This window comes from Homo sapiens, chromosome 12, assembly GCF_000001405.40.
Source record: "Homo sapiens chromosome 12, GRCh38.p14 Primary Assembly".
NCBI classification, from domain to species: domain Eukaryota; kingdom Metazoa; phylum Chordata; class Mammalia; order Primates; family Hominidae; genus Homo; species Homo sapiens.
The window spans coordinates 49,765,508-49,781,755 of NC_000012.12; the positions used below are offsets into that span (position 1 = coordinate 49,765,508).

At 47.1% G+C, this 16,248-nt stretch overlaps 1 pseudogene, besides 3 other annotated features; it reads left to right on the top strand.

The window, feature by feature from the left end:
- Positions 865-1,065: a silencer, noted in NCBI's record as "peak1728 fragment used in MPRA reporter construct". NCBI's record gives its function as "represses an SCP1 promoter by STARR-seq MPRAs in K562 erythroleukemia cells {active_cell/tissue: K562}" and the evidence as "EXISTENCE:reporter gene assay evidence [ECO:0000049][PMID:32103011]".
- Positions 5,390-5,629, top strand: LSM6P2 (LSM6 homolog, U6 small nuclear RNA and mRNA degradation associated pseudogene 2; annotated as a pseudogene).
- Positions 10,736-10,965: an enhancer, noted in NCBI's record as "active region_6333". NCBI's record gives its function as "activates an Ori minimal core promoter by ATAC-STARR-seq in GM12878 lymphoblastoid cells {active_cell/tissue: GM12878}" and the evidence as "EXISTENCE:reporter gene assay evidence [ECO:0000049][PMID:35858748]".
- Positions 11,066-11,115: an enhancer, noted in NCBI's record as "active region_6334". NCBI's record gives its function as "activates an Ori minimal core promoter by ATAC-STARR-seq in GM12878 lymphoblastoid cells {active_cell/tissue: GM12878}" and the evidence as "EXISTENCE:reporter gene assay evidence [ECO:0000049][PMID:35858748]".

A 16,248-nucleotide genomic window follows, 5' to 3' on the forward strand; every position in this document is an offset into this window, starting at 1 on the left:
GCAGGCACTTGTAATCCCAGCTACTTGGGAGGCTGAGGCAGGAGAATTACTTGAACCTGAGAGGTGAAGGTTGCAGTGAGCTGAGATGCACCACTGCATTCCAGCCCGGGTGACAGAGAAAAAAAGTCGGCCAGGCGTGGTGGCTCACGCATGTAATCCCAGCACTTTGGGAGGTCGAGGCAGGCGGATCACCTGAGGTCAGGAGTTTTGAGACCAGCCTGGCTAATAAGGTGAAACCCCGTCTCAACTAAAAATAACAAAAAATAGCCCGGCATGGTGGTGGGCGCCTGCAGTGCCAACTACTCGGGAGGCTGAGGCAGGAGAATCGCTTGTACCCGGGAGGCAGAGGTTGCAGTGAGCCGAGAGCGCACCACTGCACTACAGCCTAGGCGACAGAGACTCCCATCTCAAAAAAATAATAAAAGTCCTTGTCATAGTTCAGATATGAGATTATCAATCGGAACTTGCATTACAATCAGGTTGCTCAATTCTGTGTTTGTGTTTTTGTTTTGATTTTTGGAGACAGGGTCATGGTCTTGCCCTGTCACCCAGGCTGTAGTGCAGTGATGCGATCATGGCTCACAGCAACCTCAGTCACCTGAGCTCAAGTGATCCACCTCAGCCTCCCGAGTAGCTGGGACCACAGGAACATGCCACTGCACCCCGCTGATTTAATTTTTGTAGAGGTGGGATCTCACCATGTTGCTCAGGTTATGTTGAACTCGTGTTCCTCAAACGATCCACCTTAGCCTCCCAAAGTGCTGGGATTATAGGCTTAAGCCACCATGCCGAGCCTAGTAGCTCAATTTTACCATGCTTGTTCTCCGCTTGTCATATTCATTGTAGACCCAGGCCTTCCTGTTAGAATTTGACCATTATTCTGACTGGTTCATCTAGGTTACTCCCAGTTGACCTGTTCGGACTCCACATGTGCCCGTGCCAACTAAGGATAGCCATTTTCCTTAAGCTTGGGAAATATTCCTTAAGCATCTTTTCTCTCTTGCTGACTTTGAGAAAAGACTGGTCCTAAAGACTCTTTAAAGCCCCCATTTTATCTGCTAGGGGAGAAGTACAAGGTGCAACACCTTTTGAGTGTTTACAAGGTCAGGCACTGTACAAAGTGCCTTACATGGATTGCTTAACATCCCCAGTAGTTTAAGAAGATGGTGTATTTACTACGTACGGTCAGTTACTTCCAGGGCTGGCAGATGTGTGCCCAGAAAGAATCTAGGCACACTATCTCCAGAGCCCCTATCCTTTACTGTTAACCTATGTAAGCAGTGTTAAGGTTAGTCCTCCTGGGCTGGAGTCATCCTTTCCATCCTGACCTACATCCTGGCTATGGCTCTGGCCAAGGGTGGAAAGGGAAATTGTGAAGGGGTTTGAGCAAAATCTCCCCACCCCAAATCTTTGTAACCAAAGAAACGTAGAAGAGTGAGCGGCCTTTTTAGTCTTTCTTCCCCCAGCCAGCCCACCAATTACCAATTAAATGGAAGAGGATAACAAACAGCAGCTCTTTCCATGTGTAGGAGACCTGCAGGCCAAAACTAGACCAAGGAAGACCCTAGTGGGCGGCAGAAGTGGAAGGTCCTCTGGGTTGAAAGAAGAAACAGTATTTTTTTTTTTTTTTTGGAGATGGAGTCTCACTCTGGCCCAGGCTGGAGTGCAATGGCGTGATCTTGGCTAACAGCAACCTCCACCTCCTGGGTTCAAGCAATTCTCCTGCCTCAGCCTCTCCAGTAGCTGAGATTACAGGTGCATGCCACCATGCCCAGCTAATTTTTCATATTTTTAGTAGAAAGGGGGTTTCCCCATGTTGCTCAGGCTGGTCTCGAACTCCTGACCTCAAGTGATCTGCCCTTAAGTGATCTGCCCACTTCGGCCTCTCAAAGTGCTGGATTACTTACAGGCATGAGCCACCACGCCCAGCCAAGAAACAATATGTTCTTTCTAAGCATGGTGAGCAGATGAGGGGATCTGTCTTGTTTAAGCTGGGGATAAAGATGTAGAAGACAGTTCCTGCCTTGGAGTCCTTCACCACTGAGTAGTGCTGGAGAGCCACATGTGAACATTACATGTGAATAGGAGTTAAGCATAGTGGGCCATGAGACAACAGCAGGAGACACAGCCTGGTCTGGTCGGTCAGAGAAAGTGCTTTGTAGATGACACCTCAGCTAAGTCTAAATCTCAAAGTTTGAGTCAAAGTGAGGCAAGTGAAGAGATTAAGAAAGGCAGTGGGAGTGGATGTTTCTGATCAAGGGATCAGCACGAGGAAAGACAGGAGTACGCTCCAGCATGGGGAGTGCAAGGAAGGAGCTGCAAAAACAGGTTTTGCTAACTAGGAAAGTTGGAGGAAACTAGTAGGAAATGGAGGGGGTAAGTCAACAGTTACTGAAGACCTGGTATGAGGCACTGTTGCATCAAACCTCTGATGAAGCTGGGCGCAGTGGCTCACACCTGTAATCCCAGCACTATGGGAGACCCCAGGCGGGTGAATCACCTGAGGTTGGGAGTTTGAGACCAGCCTGACCAACATGGAGAAACCTAAAAATACAAAATTAGCTGGGCGAGGTGGTGCATGCCTGTAATCCCAGCTACTCAGGAGGCTGAAGCAGGAGAATCGCTTGAACCCAGGAGGCAAAGATTGTGGTGAGCCAAGATCGCACCATTGCACTCCAGCCCGGGCAACAAGAGCGAAACTCCGTCTCAAAAAAAAAAAAAAACAAAAACACTTTTGATAATGAAAGTAGATAATGATAATATAAGAATGGCCACTAATGCCGGGCGCAGTGGCTCAAGCCTGTAATCCCAGCATTTTGGGAGGCAGAGGTGGGCGGATCACGAGGTCAGGAGTTCAAAACCAGCCTTACCAACCTGGTGAAACCCCCTCTCTACTAAAATTACAAAAATTAGCTGGGCTTGGTGGTGCACACCTGTAATCCCAGCTACTCAGGAGGCTGAGGCAAGATAACTGCTTGAACCTGGGACGTGGAGGTTGCAGTGAGCTGAGATCATGCCACTCCACTCCAGTCTAGGCGACAGAGTGAGACTTTGTCTCAAAAAAAAAAAAAAGAATGGCCACTAACATCATATTAAGACAGACAACCTGACATCACATACCTTCTGATAGAAGTAAATACTACCAATGAAGTGTGTATTTTTTTTGTTTTTGTTTTTGTTTTTTTGAGATGTCTCATTCTGTTGCCCAGGCTGGAGTGCAGTGGCATGATCTTGGCTCACTGCAACCTCTGCCTTCCAGGTTCAAGTGATTCTCCTGCCTCAGCCTACCAAGTAGCTGGGATTACAGGCACCTGCCACCACGCCCAGCTAATTTTTTTATTTTTAATAGAGATGGGGTTTCACCACATTGGCCAGGCTGGTCTCGAACTCCTGACCTCGAGTGATCAGCCCACCTCAGCCTCCCAACGTGCTGGGATTACAGGAGTGAGCCACTGCGCCCAGCCTACCAATGAAGTTTTCTTAACAACAACAAAAAAATTGAATCTGGGCTGGGCACGGTAGCTTACACCTGTAATTCCAGCACTTCGGGAGGCTGAAGTGGGTGAATTGCTTGAGTCCAGGAGTTCGAGACCAGCCTGGGCAGCATGGCAAGACCCCATCTCTACAAAAAAATATAAAAATACACCTGTGGTCTCAGCTACTTGGGAGGCTGAGGTGGGAGGATCAGTTGAGCCTGGGAGGTTGAGGCTGCAGGGAGCCATAAACGCATCGCTGCACTCCAGCCTGGGGAGAAAAAATTGAATCTGAATCATATTAAGTTCTGTGTGAGGTAATAATACATACGTCAGTTCACTAGATTTAATCATGCCACAATGTGTATACACTTCAAAAGATGTTGGACACATATATGGTTTTATCTGTCAATTAATAATAAAAAGAAAACTTTAAGTTCAAACTATTGGTTTCTTTTTTCAAAAAATATGGCAAAGAACAAATCCAAAAAGAGAGGGAAGGAAACCTAGACATTAAGAGACTTATAAGCCATATCAACAAAATGCAATCAATGATGTGATCTTGTTTGAATCCTGATTCAAATAAATCAAGTATAGCCGGGCGCAGTGGCTCACGCCTGTAATCCAGGCACTTTGGGTGACCGAGGCTGGTGGATCACTTGAGGTCAGGAGTTCAAGATCAGCCTGACCAACATGGTGAAACTCTGTCTCTACTAAAAATACAAAAATTAGCTGGGTATGGTGGTGGGCACCTGTAATCCCAGCTACTCAGGAGGCGGAGGCAGGAGAATCGCTTGAACCTGGGAGGCGGAGGTTGTAGTGAGCTGAGATTGCACCACTGCACTCCAGCCTGGGCGACAAAGTGAGACTTCGTCTCAAACAAAAACAAAAATAAACAAAAAAACCAAGTGTAAAAGGAAAAGAAAAAGGGAGAGAATTGGAGCAATTTGAACCCCGATTCACATTCTCCAAGATGGCCCCCAAGGATCCTCACCTTGGTGTGCCCTGGTAGAGTTCTCCACATTGAGGCAGGCTGGCACGCATGACCAAAATATCACTGCAGAAGCGTGTGTGGCTTCTGAGGCCAGGTCTTCAGAGGAATTGCAGCTTCCTCCTTGTCTCCTTGGATCACTTGCTCTGAGTGAAACTAAGTACAGGTTCTGAGGCCATTCAAGCCGCCCTGTGTGGAAAGCCTTGAAGTGAAGACTGGAGCCCCCTGCCCACAGCCAGCACCGACTTGCCAGCCAGTGGGAAGGAGCCACCATGAAAGCAGATCCTCCAGTTTCAAACTTTCAGGTGACTACAGTCTCATGAGACACTGAGCCAGAACTGCCTCACCAATCTACCAATCTGTTTCTGAATGCCTGGCCCACAGAAACTGTGAGCAATAATACATTTATTGCTGTTTTAAACCACTGTGTTACACAGCAATAGATAACAGCTCAAACACTGACTACATGATAAAGAAATATTATTAATGCATAACGCTAATAATGTTATGATTGCATTCTTCAAAAGTTATCTTTTAAAGATGCATACTGGCCAGGCGCGGTGGCTCACGCCTGTAATCCCAGCACTTTGGGAGGCCGAGGTGGGCGGATCACCTGAGGTCAGGAGTTCAAGACCAGCCTGGACAACATGGTGAAACCCGGTCTATACTAAAAATACAAAAATGAGCCAGGTGTGGTGGTGGGCGCCTATAGTCCCAGCTACTCGGGAGGCTGAGGCAAGAGAATCGCTTGAACCTGGGAGTGGAGGTTGCAGTGAGCCGAGATCTCACCACTGCACTCCAGACTGGGTGACAGAGCGAGACTCCATCTCAAAAATAAATAAATAAATAAAAATTAAAGATGCATACTGAAATAAGTATGGATTAATTACTATGATGTCTGAGATTTGCATCAAAATACTCAGTTGGGCTTGTGGAGTGCCTGGAGTGAGGGTTCTGGATCCCACCCGTGAGATTTAGGATTGTTAAAATGAGTCTTCAGAAGCAAATCCCTAGTGACTTCTTATAGCAAATCATCGGATGACCAATTGTGGTAAAATTAAATTATAGAGTGGATTATTGAGGGGTCCTGGCTTGCCTGGATGGCTACATGAATATAGCCTTGGGGTAGACAGAAGAATATATACAACCAAAGAATAAGTATGGGAAGCTGGGTACAGTGGCTCATGCCTGTAATCCCAGCACTTTGGGAGGCTGAGTTGGGCAGGAATTTGAGACCAGCCTGGCCAACATGGTGAAACCCCTTCTGTACTGAAAAAAAAAAAAAAAAAAAAAAAAGGCCAGGAGCGGTGGCTCACGCCTGTAATCCCAGCACTTTGGGAGGCAGAGGCGGGCAGATCATGAGGTCAGGAGATCAAGACCATCCTGGCTAACATGGTGAAACCCCGTCTCTACTAAAAAATACAAAAAAAATTAGCCAGGCGTGATGGCAGGCGCCTGTAGTCCCAGCTACTAGGGAGGCTGAGGCAGGAGAATGGCGTGAACCCAGGAGGTGGAGCTTGCAGTGAGCCAAGATCGTGCCACTGCACCCCCAGTCTGGGCGGCAGAGTGAGACTCCATCTCAAAAAAAAAAGTACAAAAATTGGCCAGGCGCAGTGGTGCACACCTGTAGTCCCAGCTACTCAGGAGACTGAGGCAGGAGAATTGTTTGAACCCGGGAGGTGGAGGCTGCAGTGAGCTGAGATCACACACTGCACTCCATCCTGGGTGATAGAGTAAGACTGTCTCAAAAAAAAAAAAAAAAAAAAAAGAATGAGTATGGGCTACATTTATCCAAGAAAAGTACATCAGTACACAGAACAGAAGGGTGTGAAGGCACCAAGAGGGCCATACTTTTCATAGTTGGATATCTTTTTATTATTTTTTTCTAATTCTTGCTTCTTTGTGATATACTTTGTCCTGTTTTTTATAATAGTTTATTTTTCACTGACATTTAAGATAAATGTATACAATTAATTATGAAGTGTTCTTTTACATTTAAGTTTCAGTCATTTTCTTTTACCACTTTGTCAGTGTACAAAATGCTAAAAGAATTTTTGAAAAAGAAAAAAAATAGTTGAATGGTGGCAGGGAGTGAAGAAAGTAGAGGGTATAGATAATATGAATGGTTATGAGTTTATATCGGTTGTGGCTAGGCAATGGACATTGATTGTACGATTCTCTCTCCTTTTGTGTTTGAAATGTTCTATCATGGAAAACTAAAGAAACAAAAAAGGCATAATGGTCCAGGCAAGAGAAAAGATGATGTGAAGTAGAGCAGTAGTCATAAGGACAGGAGACAATGGACTAAAATATTCTGGAGGTAAAATCTCCAGGCCTTAGTGATTAATGAGACATGGGGAGGTGAGAAAGACAGGAGATCAAGGATGATTCTCAGGGGGTCAGGATGGTCCTACCAGCTACCTGCCAACTGTGCAAGCTTGGGAGAGTTACTCAGCCTTTCTGTGTCTCATTTTCCCATGTGTAAAATGGAAGTAATAATAGTACTTCCTGTATAGAACTATTGTGAGAATTAAATTAATAAAATACAGTCATGTGCCATATGATGTTTTGGCCAATGACACGCTGCTTATATGATGGTGGTCCTATACTCACACCTGTAATCCCAGCACTTTGGGAGGCCGAGGCAGGCAGATCACGAGCTCAGGAGTTCAAGACCAGCCTGACCAACATAGTGAAACCCCGTCTCTACTAATAATACAAAAATTAGCTGGGCATGGTGGTGCATGCCTGTAATCCCAGCTACCTGGGAGGCTGAGACAGGAGAATTGCTAGAACCCGCGAGGCGGAGGTTGCAGTGAGGTGAGCCAAGATCACGCCACAGCACTCCAGCCTGGGCAACAGGGCAAGACTCCATCTAAAAAAAAAAAAAAAAAGATTATCATACTATATTTTTACTGTACCTTTTCTATGTTTAAATTCACAAATGCTCATCATGGTGTTACTATAATTGCCTATAGTATTCAGTACAGTAAGATGCTGTACAGGTTTGTAGCCTAGGAACAACAGGCGATACCATAGAGCTTAGGTGAATAGTAGGCTACGCCATCTAGGTCTGTGTAAGTATATTTTACCATATTCACACAATGACAAGATCCCTGTCTTACTGTATGTAAACAACTTAGAAGTGTGTTCAGCCCATAATAAAACTTCTAAATGTTAGTTCTTCCACTAGGGAGGCCCAGGTCTGTGGGTGGGATGGTAGTTTTGGCTCTGACATGCTGAGATTGCAGTGGTGTGGGACACCCTTGCAGATGCCAGGGGACATTGGGATATGAATCTAAAGCTAAGGGAAGAAGTTAGGAATAGACGTATGGATGACTTGGCACTTTTTTCTTTTCTTTTCTTTTCTTTTTTTTTTTGAGACAGAGTCTCACTGCAACCGCCGCCTCCTGGGTTCAAGCAATTCTCCTGCCTCAGCCTCCTGAGTAGTTGAGATTACAGGTACCCGCCACCACGCCCGGCTAATTTTTTTTTTTTTTTTTTTTTTTTTTTAGTAGAGACGGGGTTTCACCATGTTGGCCAGGCTGGTCTCAAACTCCTGACCTCAGATGATCCACCCACCTTGACCTCCCAAAGTGCTGAAATTATAGGCATGACCCACCGAGCCCAGCCTGACTTGGCACATTTTTTTTTTCTTTTTTTTTTTTTTGAGACAGAGTCTCGCTCTGTCGCCCAGGCTGGAGTTAAGTGGCACGATCTCGGCTCACTGCAAGCTCTGCCTCCCGGGTTCACACCATTCTCCTGCCTCAGCCTTCTGAGTAGCTGGGACTACAGGCGCCCACCACTGCACCTGGCTAATTTTTTGCATTTTTAGTACAGATGGGGTTTCGTCGTGTTAGCCAGGATGGTCTTGATCTCCTGACCTCGTGATCCACCCGCCTCGGCCTCCCAAAGTGCTGGGATTACAGGCGTGAGCCACCACGCCCAGCCAACTTGGCACATTTTTAAACCATAAAAATGTCAGCTCCTTGAACTTCACTACTTCACCAAAGAAGATACACAAATGGCAAATTGCACATGAAAATATGTTCAAAATTTAAAAATTAGTTGGGTTTGGTGGCATGCACCTGTAGTCCCAGCTACTCAGGAGGCTGAGTTGGGAAGTTGGGAGGATCACTTGAGCCCAGGAGGCTGAGCTGCAGGGAGCTGTGATTGCACTACTGCACCCCCACCTGGACCACGGAGCAAGACCCTGTCTCAAAAAAAAAAAAAGAAAAAAAAGTTGTTCAACATTATTAGACATTAAGGGAATGCAAATTAAAGCAACAATTAAATACTACTACACACCTACTAGAATGGCTAAAATTTTTTTGAAGTGATAATACTGAGTGCTCGTGTGAATGTGGAGCAACTGGATCTATTGAACGTCGCTGGTGGTGAGGTAACATGGTACACTGGATCTATTGAACGTCGTTGGTGGTGAGGTAACATGGTACAGACTCTCTGGAAAACAATTTCGCAGTTTCTTATAAAATTAAACATACATTAACCATACAACCCAGCAATTGTACTGCTGGGTATTTACCCTAGAGAAATAAAAATTTGTGTTCACACAGAAACCTCTACATGAGGCCAGGCACAGCATGCCTGTAATCCCAGCACTTTGGGAGGCCGAGGTGGGTGAATCACTTGAGGTCAGGAGTTTAAGACCAGCCTGGCCAACAAGGTGAAACGCCATCTCTACTAAAAATACAAAAATTAGCCGGGTGTGGTGGCCTGCACCTGTAATCCCAGCTACTTGGGAGGCTGAGGCAGGAGAATCACTTGAACCCAGGAGGTGGAGGTTGCAGTGAGCCGAGATTGCTCCACTTTACTCCAGCCTGGGCGACAGAGTAAGACTCAGTCTCAAAAAGATAAAAAGAAACCTGTACACAGATGTTCAGAGAGGCTTTATTTTTAATAGCCTACAACTGGGACAAACCCAAATATTCTTCAATATGTGAATGAATGAACAAACAAACTGTGGTACATCCATACAATGGAATACTACTCTGCAATACAAAGAATGAACCACAGACACATACAACAACTTAGATGGATCTCAAAGGCTCCATCAGGAAACCCAGGCACCTCACCACTTAAGGAGTGTGTGGAAACTTTGATTCCACGGTTCTCCATCCCCTCTGCCACTGCCTAGGTTTAGGCCTCACTGAATCTCACCTGGATTATTGTCCCAGCCTCCTCACTAGTCTTGGATCTCTGCAGTCCATCTGAAAGGTTTGCAGGCCTGAACTACCACTCTGTGGCGAGAAGAGGAAATATGCAGAGTGCCATCCTTTCACCCTTTGTGACCAGTGCACTAAATTCTGACCACAGTCTCCCCAACCCACTGCACTACTTCTAGAAGGGCCTTTCTACACTGAACTTTTCAATGGCTCATCTTTGCTCTTTAGATAAAGTCCAAACTCATACTTCCCAGGCTCTGACTTACCTCTGTCCTCCCATATTTCAGTGCCCCAGCGATGAGACTCATTTTTATGCTAGAATATTCCACTAGATCCCTCACTGTTACACATTGATTGGCATTTTTCTTTTTCTGCCTAGAGCTCTCACTCCACCCTCTCTGCCTGGGTCAGTCGTACCTACCCTGCAGGTCTTAGGTTGTTCTGTGGGGGTTTTTTTGTTGTTGTTTTTTTAGACAGTCTCATTCTATCGCCCAGGCTAGAGTGCAGTAGTGAAATCTAGGCTCACTTGCAACCTCTGCCTCCCGGGTTCAAGTGATTCTTCTGCCTCAGCCTCCCGAGTAGCTGGTATTACAGGCGCCTGCCACCACGCCTAATTTTTGTATTTTTAGTAGAGACGGAGTTTCACCATGTTGGCCAGGCTGGTCTCGAACTGCTGACTTCAAGTGATCCACCCGCCTTGGCCTTCCAAAGTGCTGGGATTACAGGTGTGAGCCACCTCGCCCGGCCACAGGTCTTAGTTTTGATATCGCCTCCTCTAGGAAGTCTCCTCTGAGCCCTCAAGACTGTTAGAGGAGCCTCTTCTGGGGCCTCCCTCCATCACAGCACGGCTGGAGTCACCTGGGGGCTGTTGGCATCACCCACTGGAACTGGGAGCCCCATTCACCTCTGAATTCCTGCTGTCTGGCTCAGCGTTTCACACCTACTAGGTGTGAAGGTCTGCAAATTAACAACGTGGTTGGATGAGAAAATGAAGGCCTGAAAGTGGAGGCACGGCATGGGGAGGGAGGTCACCCGAAGTGCGTCCTGACTTTAGGAAGGCCAGGGTATGAAAAGCAGACAAGGCTCACCATCCATCCTGCTCCCTTGCCAACGCTTTCTACCTTTGGGCTGACTGTAGGATAAGTGTCCCCCGCCTCCCATGCCAGGCTGGGGGAAGGACTGGCAGGGTTACTTCCAGGAGAAACAGATAAGGCCAGGGAGGAGTTTCTGTCCGTCAAGCGCATATATTTTTATTCTCTGCACTTTGTCCAAGGCCTGCAATGGGTTGGGGAGACTGTGGTCAGGATTTGGTGCATTGGTCACAAAGGGTGAAAGGAAGGCACTCTGCATATTTCCTCTTCCCACCACAGGGTGGCAGTTCAGGCCTACAAACGTCTCGGATGGGCGCTGCCTCGGTTGCACCATCTGATGGCTACGTGTTTCACCATGTTGCACAGGCTGGTCTCTAACTCCTGGCCTCAAGTGATCCGCCCACCTCAGCCTCCCAAAGTGCTGGGATTACAGGTGTGAACCACTGCATCTGGCCAACAATATATTTTTTTAAGTTGAAGGAATCGAAAACAAAGAACATATGTGGCAAATTTATATTTGTTATTTTAAAAACAGTTCCTGGGAATGCTCCTGCCTTAGAGAAGGCCCCCAATGCTATCTTCTTGGCTTCCTGAGTCAGCGGGAGAAACCTGATTTCTTGATGGCATTTGCCACCTGACTGGGCCTGCCTGATCACTCTCGCATGAACTGTTCTCTGCATTTATCACACCTGTATCCAGGTGTCCTCTCCCCCTCGTTCATGTCACTTGGGATACCCCAGGGCTCCTGTGGCTGAACCTCCCCAACCCAGCTTCTTGGTCTCCTGCAGGGATGCTCACCCGCCCCAGCCCCATTTCATCATCTGCTCTCCTACTCTCAGGCCACAGCCACGTTATTCAGTTCTCACTTCCTCTGCCCCCTCCTCACCTACACTTTGGTTGCATTACAAGCCCAGTCCTGCCCCTTAATCCCTCCACTTTATCTTGCTTCCTTTTTTTTTTGTTTTGAGACGGAGTCTTACTCTGTCACCCAGGGTGGAATGCAATGGCACGATCTCAGCTCACTGTAACCTCCACCTCCCGGGTTCAAGTGATTCTCCTGCCTCAGCCTCCCGAGTAGCTGGGATTACAGGCGCCCGCCATCACACTTGGCTAATTTTTATATTTTTAGTAGAGATGGGGTTTTACCATGTTGCACAGGCTGGTCTCAAACTTCTGGGCTCAAGTGATCCTCTTGCCTCGGCCTCCCAAAGTGCTGGGATTTCAGGCATGAGCCACAGCACCTGGCTTGTGTTGTGATTTTGAATGCAGACTCTGGGGCTGAGCTGTCTGGGCTTGTCTCACAGCTCTTCCATAGACAAGCTTTGACATTGGGAAAGTTACTTAAGTTCTCTGATCTTCACTTTCTCCTAGTAAAACAGAAATAACAATAATACCTACCCAAAAACATTGTGGCGAGGATTAATGGACTTAATCTGTATAAAGTGCTTAGAACAGTGCCTGGCACATTGTAAATATTATATATGGGTTTGCTCCTATGTATTATTATTAGTATTACTCGAGCTGGAGGCTTTGGGTCACTCCACTTAGCCTCTCGCCAATTCCACAATCTTCCTTCTCTAGTCCTAGAACCAGGCCTTTGCACCCTGCTAGGAGAAGCAGCAGCAACCACAGAAGTCCGACTTTCCTGCAGTCTGGTGCTAAGGAGATGCCTGGACTTCAGCATCCACTGGGCTCCAGCCTCCTTTGAAAACCCTTGATTTGTCCTCAGCCCGGCCCCTCTCCGCTGTCTCCAGTGGCCATCCCATATCTTCGCGACTTCCCCATCCACACGGTGTGAATGTAAAATGGTACAGAGATATAGAATGGAGGTGAGGGCCCCATATGGTAAATTGATAGACAATGGCCACCGTATTTTGTAGCTCCTCCATCGACGTGTGATGACCTCTCATCTCTCATACTCTAATCCTCAAACTGCTCTGCACATTCCCAAGTCTGTTCCCAACTCCTGAAGCCCTTCCACTGCCTCTAGAATTCGCAGCCCTACATCTGCAAAACTCCCCAACTTCATCTTCTCCTGGTGTTCCCTTTGCCTTCGCAGGCAGCAGGTTCCTGGCTCCCCCTGGAGGACACGGCCCTCCCTGCAATGCCCTCAGGTGGGTGCAGCTTTCCCTGCCTCACCTTTGTGCCTCGAGGCGCCCTCCTTGTTCTTCAGTGCTGCTTTCAGAACCTTCTTCCCTAAAATCCCTCAGCTCTGAGTCTCAGGTTGTAGGACGCTGCCTCCCTCTTCCATGCACCTACCAATCCCTGGGCTACTTCCGTGTTTCTAGAAGGTTTCATTCCTACCTCAGTGTCATTCTCTCTAACGTGATTTCTGCCCTAATTCTTAGAGATTTCTTTTTGTTTGTTTGGTTGGACTTTGGTTTGTTGTTGTTGTTTTGAAACAGAGTTGTGGTCTTATATCCCAGGCTGGAGTCCAATGGCAGAATCTTGGCTCACTGCAACCTCCGCCTCCTGGGTTCAAGCAGTTCTCCTGCCTCAGCCTCCCGAGTAGCTGGGATTACAGGTGCGCACAACCACGCCCAGCTAATTTTTGTATTTTTAGTAGAGATGAGGTTTCACCATGTTGATCAGGCTGGTCTAACTCCTGACCTCAGGTAATCCACACACCTCGGCCACCCAAAGTGCTGGGATTACAGGCGTGAGCCACCACACTGGCCTATTGTTGTTTTTGAGACAGGGTCTTGCTCTGTCTCCCAGGCTGGACTGCAGTGGTGTGATCTTGGCTCACTGCAGCCTGAACTGCCCAGGCTCAGGCGATCCTCCCATCTCAGCCTCCTGAGTAGCTGGGACTATAGGCACGTGCCACCACGCCAGGCTGATTTTTGTATTTTTTTGTAGAGACAGGGTTTCGCCATGTTGCCCAGGCTGTTCTCGAGCTTCTGGGCTCAAGTAATCCTCCTCCCAGCCTCCAAAAGTGCTGGGATTCCGGGCGTGAGCCACTGCACCAGGTCCTAAGAGATTTCAATATTCACGTAGATACATCCTCCCCATACCCTGGCCTCTCACTTCCACGATCTCCTCTCCTCCAAAGACCTCTCATGGCCACACCCTGCTCCTTGTCATTACTAATAACTGCACCTCCTCTGTATTAGTTTGTTAGGGCTGTCATAACAAAGTACCACAGACTGGATGGCTTAGACAGCAGAAATATATTGTCACAGAAATGTAGCCTTCTTCTGGAGGCTAGAAGTCCAAGATCAAGGTGATGTCAGTGTTGGTTCCTTCTGAGGCTGTGAGACAGAACCTGTCTGTGCCTCTCACCCAGCTTCTGGTGGTTGCTGGCAATGCTTGGGGTTCCTTGGCTCATGGATGCATCACCCTGACCTCTGCTTTCATCTTCACATGGTGATATGGTTTGGCCATGTCCCCACCCAAATTTCATCTTGAATTGTAGTTTCCATAATCCCCATGTGTTGTGGGAAGGACCCAGCGGGAGGTAATTTAATTATAGGAGTGGGTAGCCTCATGCTATTCTTGTGACAGTGAGTGAGTTCTCACGAGATCTGATGGTTTTATAAGGGGCATTCCCCACTTTTGCTCAGCACTTCTCCTTCTACTGCCATGTGAAGAGGGACATGTTTGCTTCCCCTTCCACCATGATTGTAAGTTCCCTGAGTCAATTAAACCTCTTTCCTTGATAAAGTACCCAGAGTTTAGGGCATGTATTTATTAGCAGCATGAGAATGGACTAATATACATGGTGTCTCCCTGTGTGCTTGTCCATCTGGCTTCAAGTTCCTCCTTTTTATAAAGACACCAGTCAAAATAGGAGTAGGGCCCACCCAAATGACCTCATTTTAACTTGACTACCTCTGTAAAGACCCTATTTCCAGATAAGGTCACATTCTGAGATACTGGGGGTAGGCCTCCACATCTTAGAGGGAGAGGGACACAATTCAACCCTTAATACCGCATTCCCATTCCCATTCTCTCAATGTCATGCTGCCCATCCCGTGACCACCACCTCATTTCTTCCCAACATCTTTCCAACTTATTCCCACTAGTACTCTACCTCCAAAATTCCTTTGATCCCACTGGGACCTACAATGTACTGTCCCTACTCCCCCATGCCTCCCTCTTTTACTGTTCCTTTTTCCCTTTTTATCCAATTTAAAGACCACAGTCACACTTGTAATCCCAGCTACTCAGGAGGCTGAGGCAGGAGGATTCCTTGAGCTCAGGAATTTGAGGCTGCAGTGAGCTGTAATCTCTCCACTGCATGTCAGCCTGGGTGATAGAGCAAGACACTGACTTCAAAAAAAAAAAAAAAATAGAATCACTCCCCTGCATACACCTTCAATTCCCCTGCTTCTTTCCCCCTCCTTTGTTGCACTCAATTAGTAAATGGCACCCCTGGCTAATTCACCTCACTGCATGGGAAGCATGGGCTGGAGAAGAAAACCAACACATTCATGTTAACCAGTCTCCCTTTAAATTCCTAATTACCTAAGGTGGACCCTTCATGCTGCCTGGTAATCCTACTACATTTCCCAGTCCATTCACTCTTTTGAGCTCCTAGATGACCACCCATACGTTCTCCTGTCTTCTCAAGCCTCCAACATCTTCTCCTGCCATCTTTCTCAGTTGATGATCTTGAATATTTCCTTGAGAAAATAAAAGCACCCAGGAGAGAGCTCCTATAGTTAGACATCATCACATATACACAACTACCTGCTTCTGAGCATTCCTCCTTCCTGTACCTATGAATGATGAATGCTATTTAAAGCCACTTATGCACTGGAGCCTGACAATTCCCTCTTCTCTTTCCTGCGTCATCAGATTTTCTTTCTTTCTTCCTTTCTTTCCTTCCCTTCCCTTCCCCTTCCTTCCTTCCTTCTTTCTTTTTCTCTTTCTTTTCTTTCTCTCTCTCTCTTTCCTTCCTTCCTTCCTTCCTTCCTTCCTTCCTTCCTTCCTTCCTTCCTTCCTTCCCTCCTTCCTTCCTTCTTTTCAGATGGAGTCTCGCTCTGTCGCCAGGCTGGAGTGCAGTGACACGATCTCGGCTCACTGCAACCTCCGTCTCCCAGGTTCAAGTGGTTCTCCTGCCTCAGCCTCCTGAGTAGCTGGGACTACAGGCATGTGCCACCACGCCTAGCTAATTTTTATATTTTTAGTAGAGAGGGGTTTCACCACGTTGACCAGGCTGTTCTCAAACTCTTGCCTTGTGATCTGCCTGCCTTGGCCTCCCAAAGTGCTGGGATTACAAGCGTGAGCCACTGCACCTGGCCCCAGATTTTCTCTAGTTTATCGTTCCAGTAAGTATAAGAATATGCTGTAATTTCTTTTTTTTTTTTAATTTTTAGATATGGGGGGGTCTCACTATGCAGCCCAGGCTGAACTTGACTCCTGGGCTCAAGCAGTCCTCCTGTCTCAGCCTCCCAACTAGCTAAGACTACAGGCATGTGCCACTGGGCCTGTCTGGCTAACTTTTCCTATGTTTAAGAAACCCCCCCTTAGAGCCTGGGAGCAACAACACTCCAACAACAATG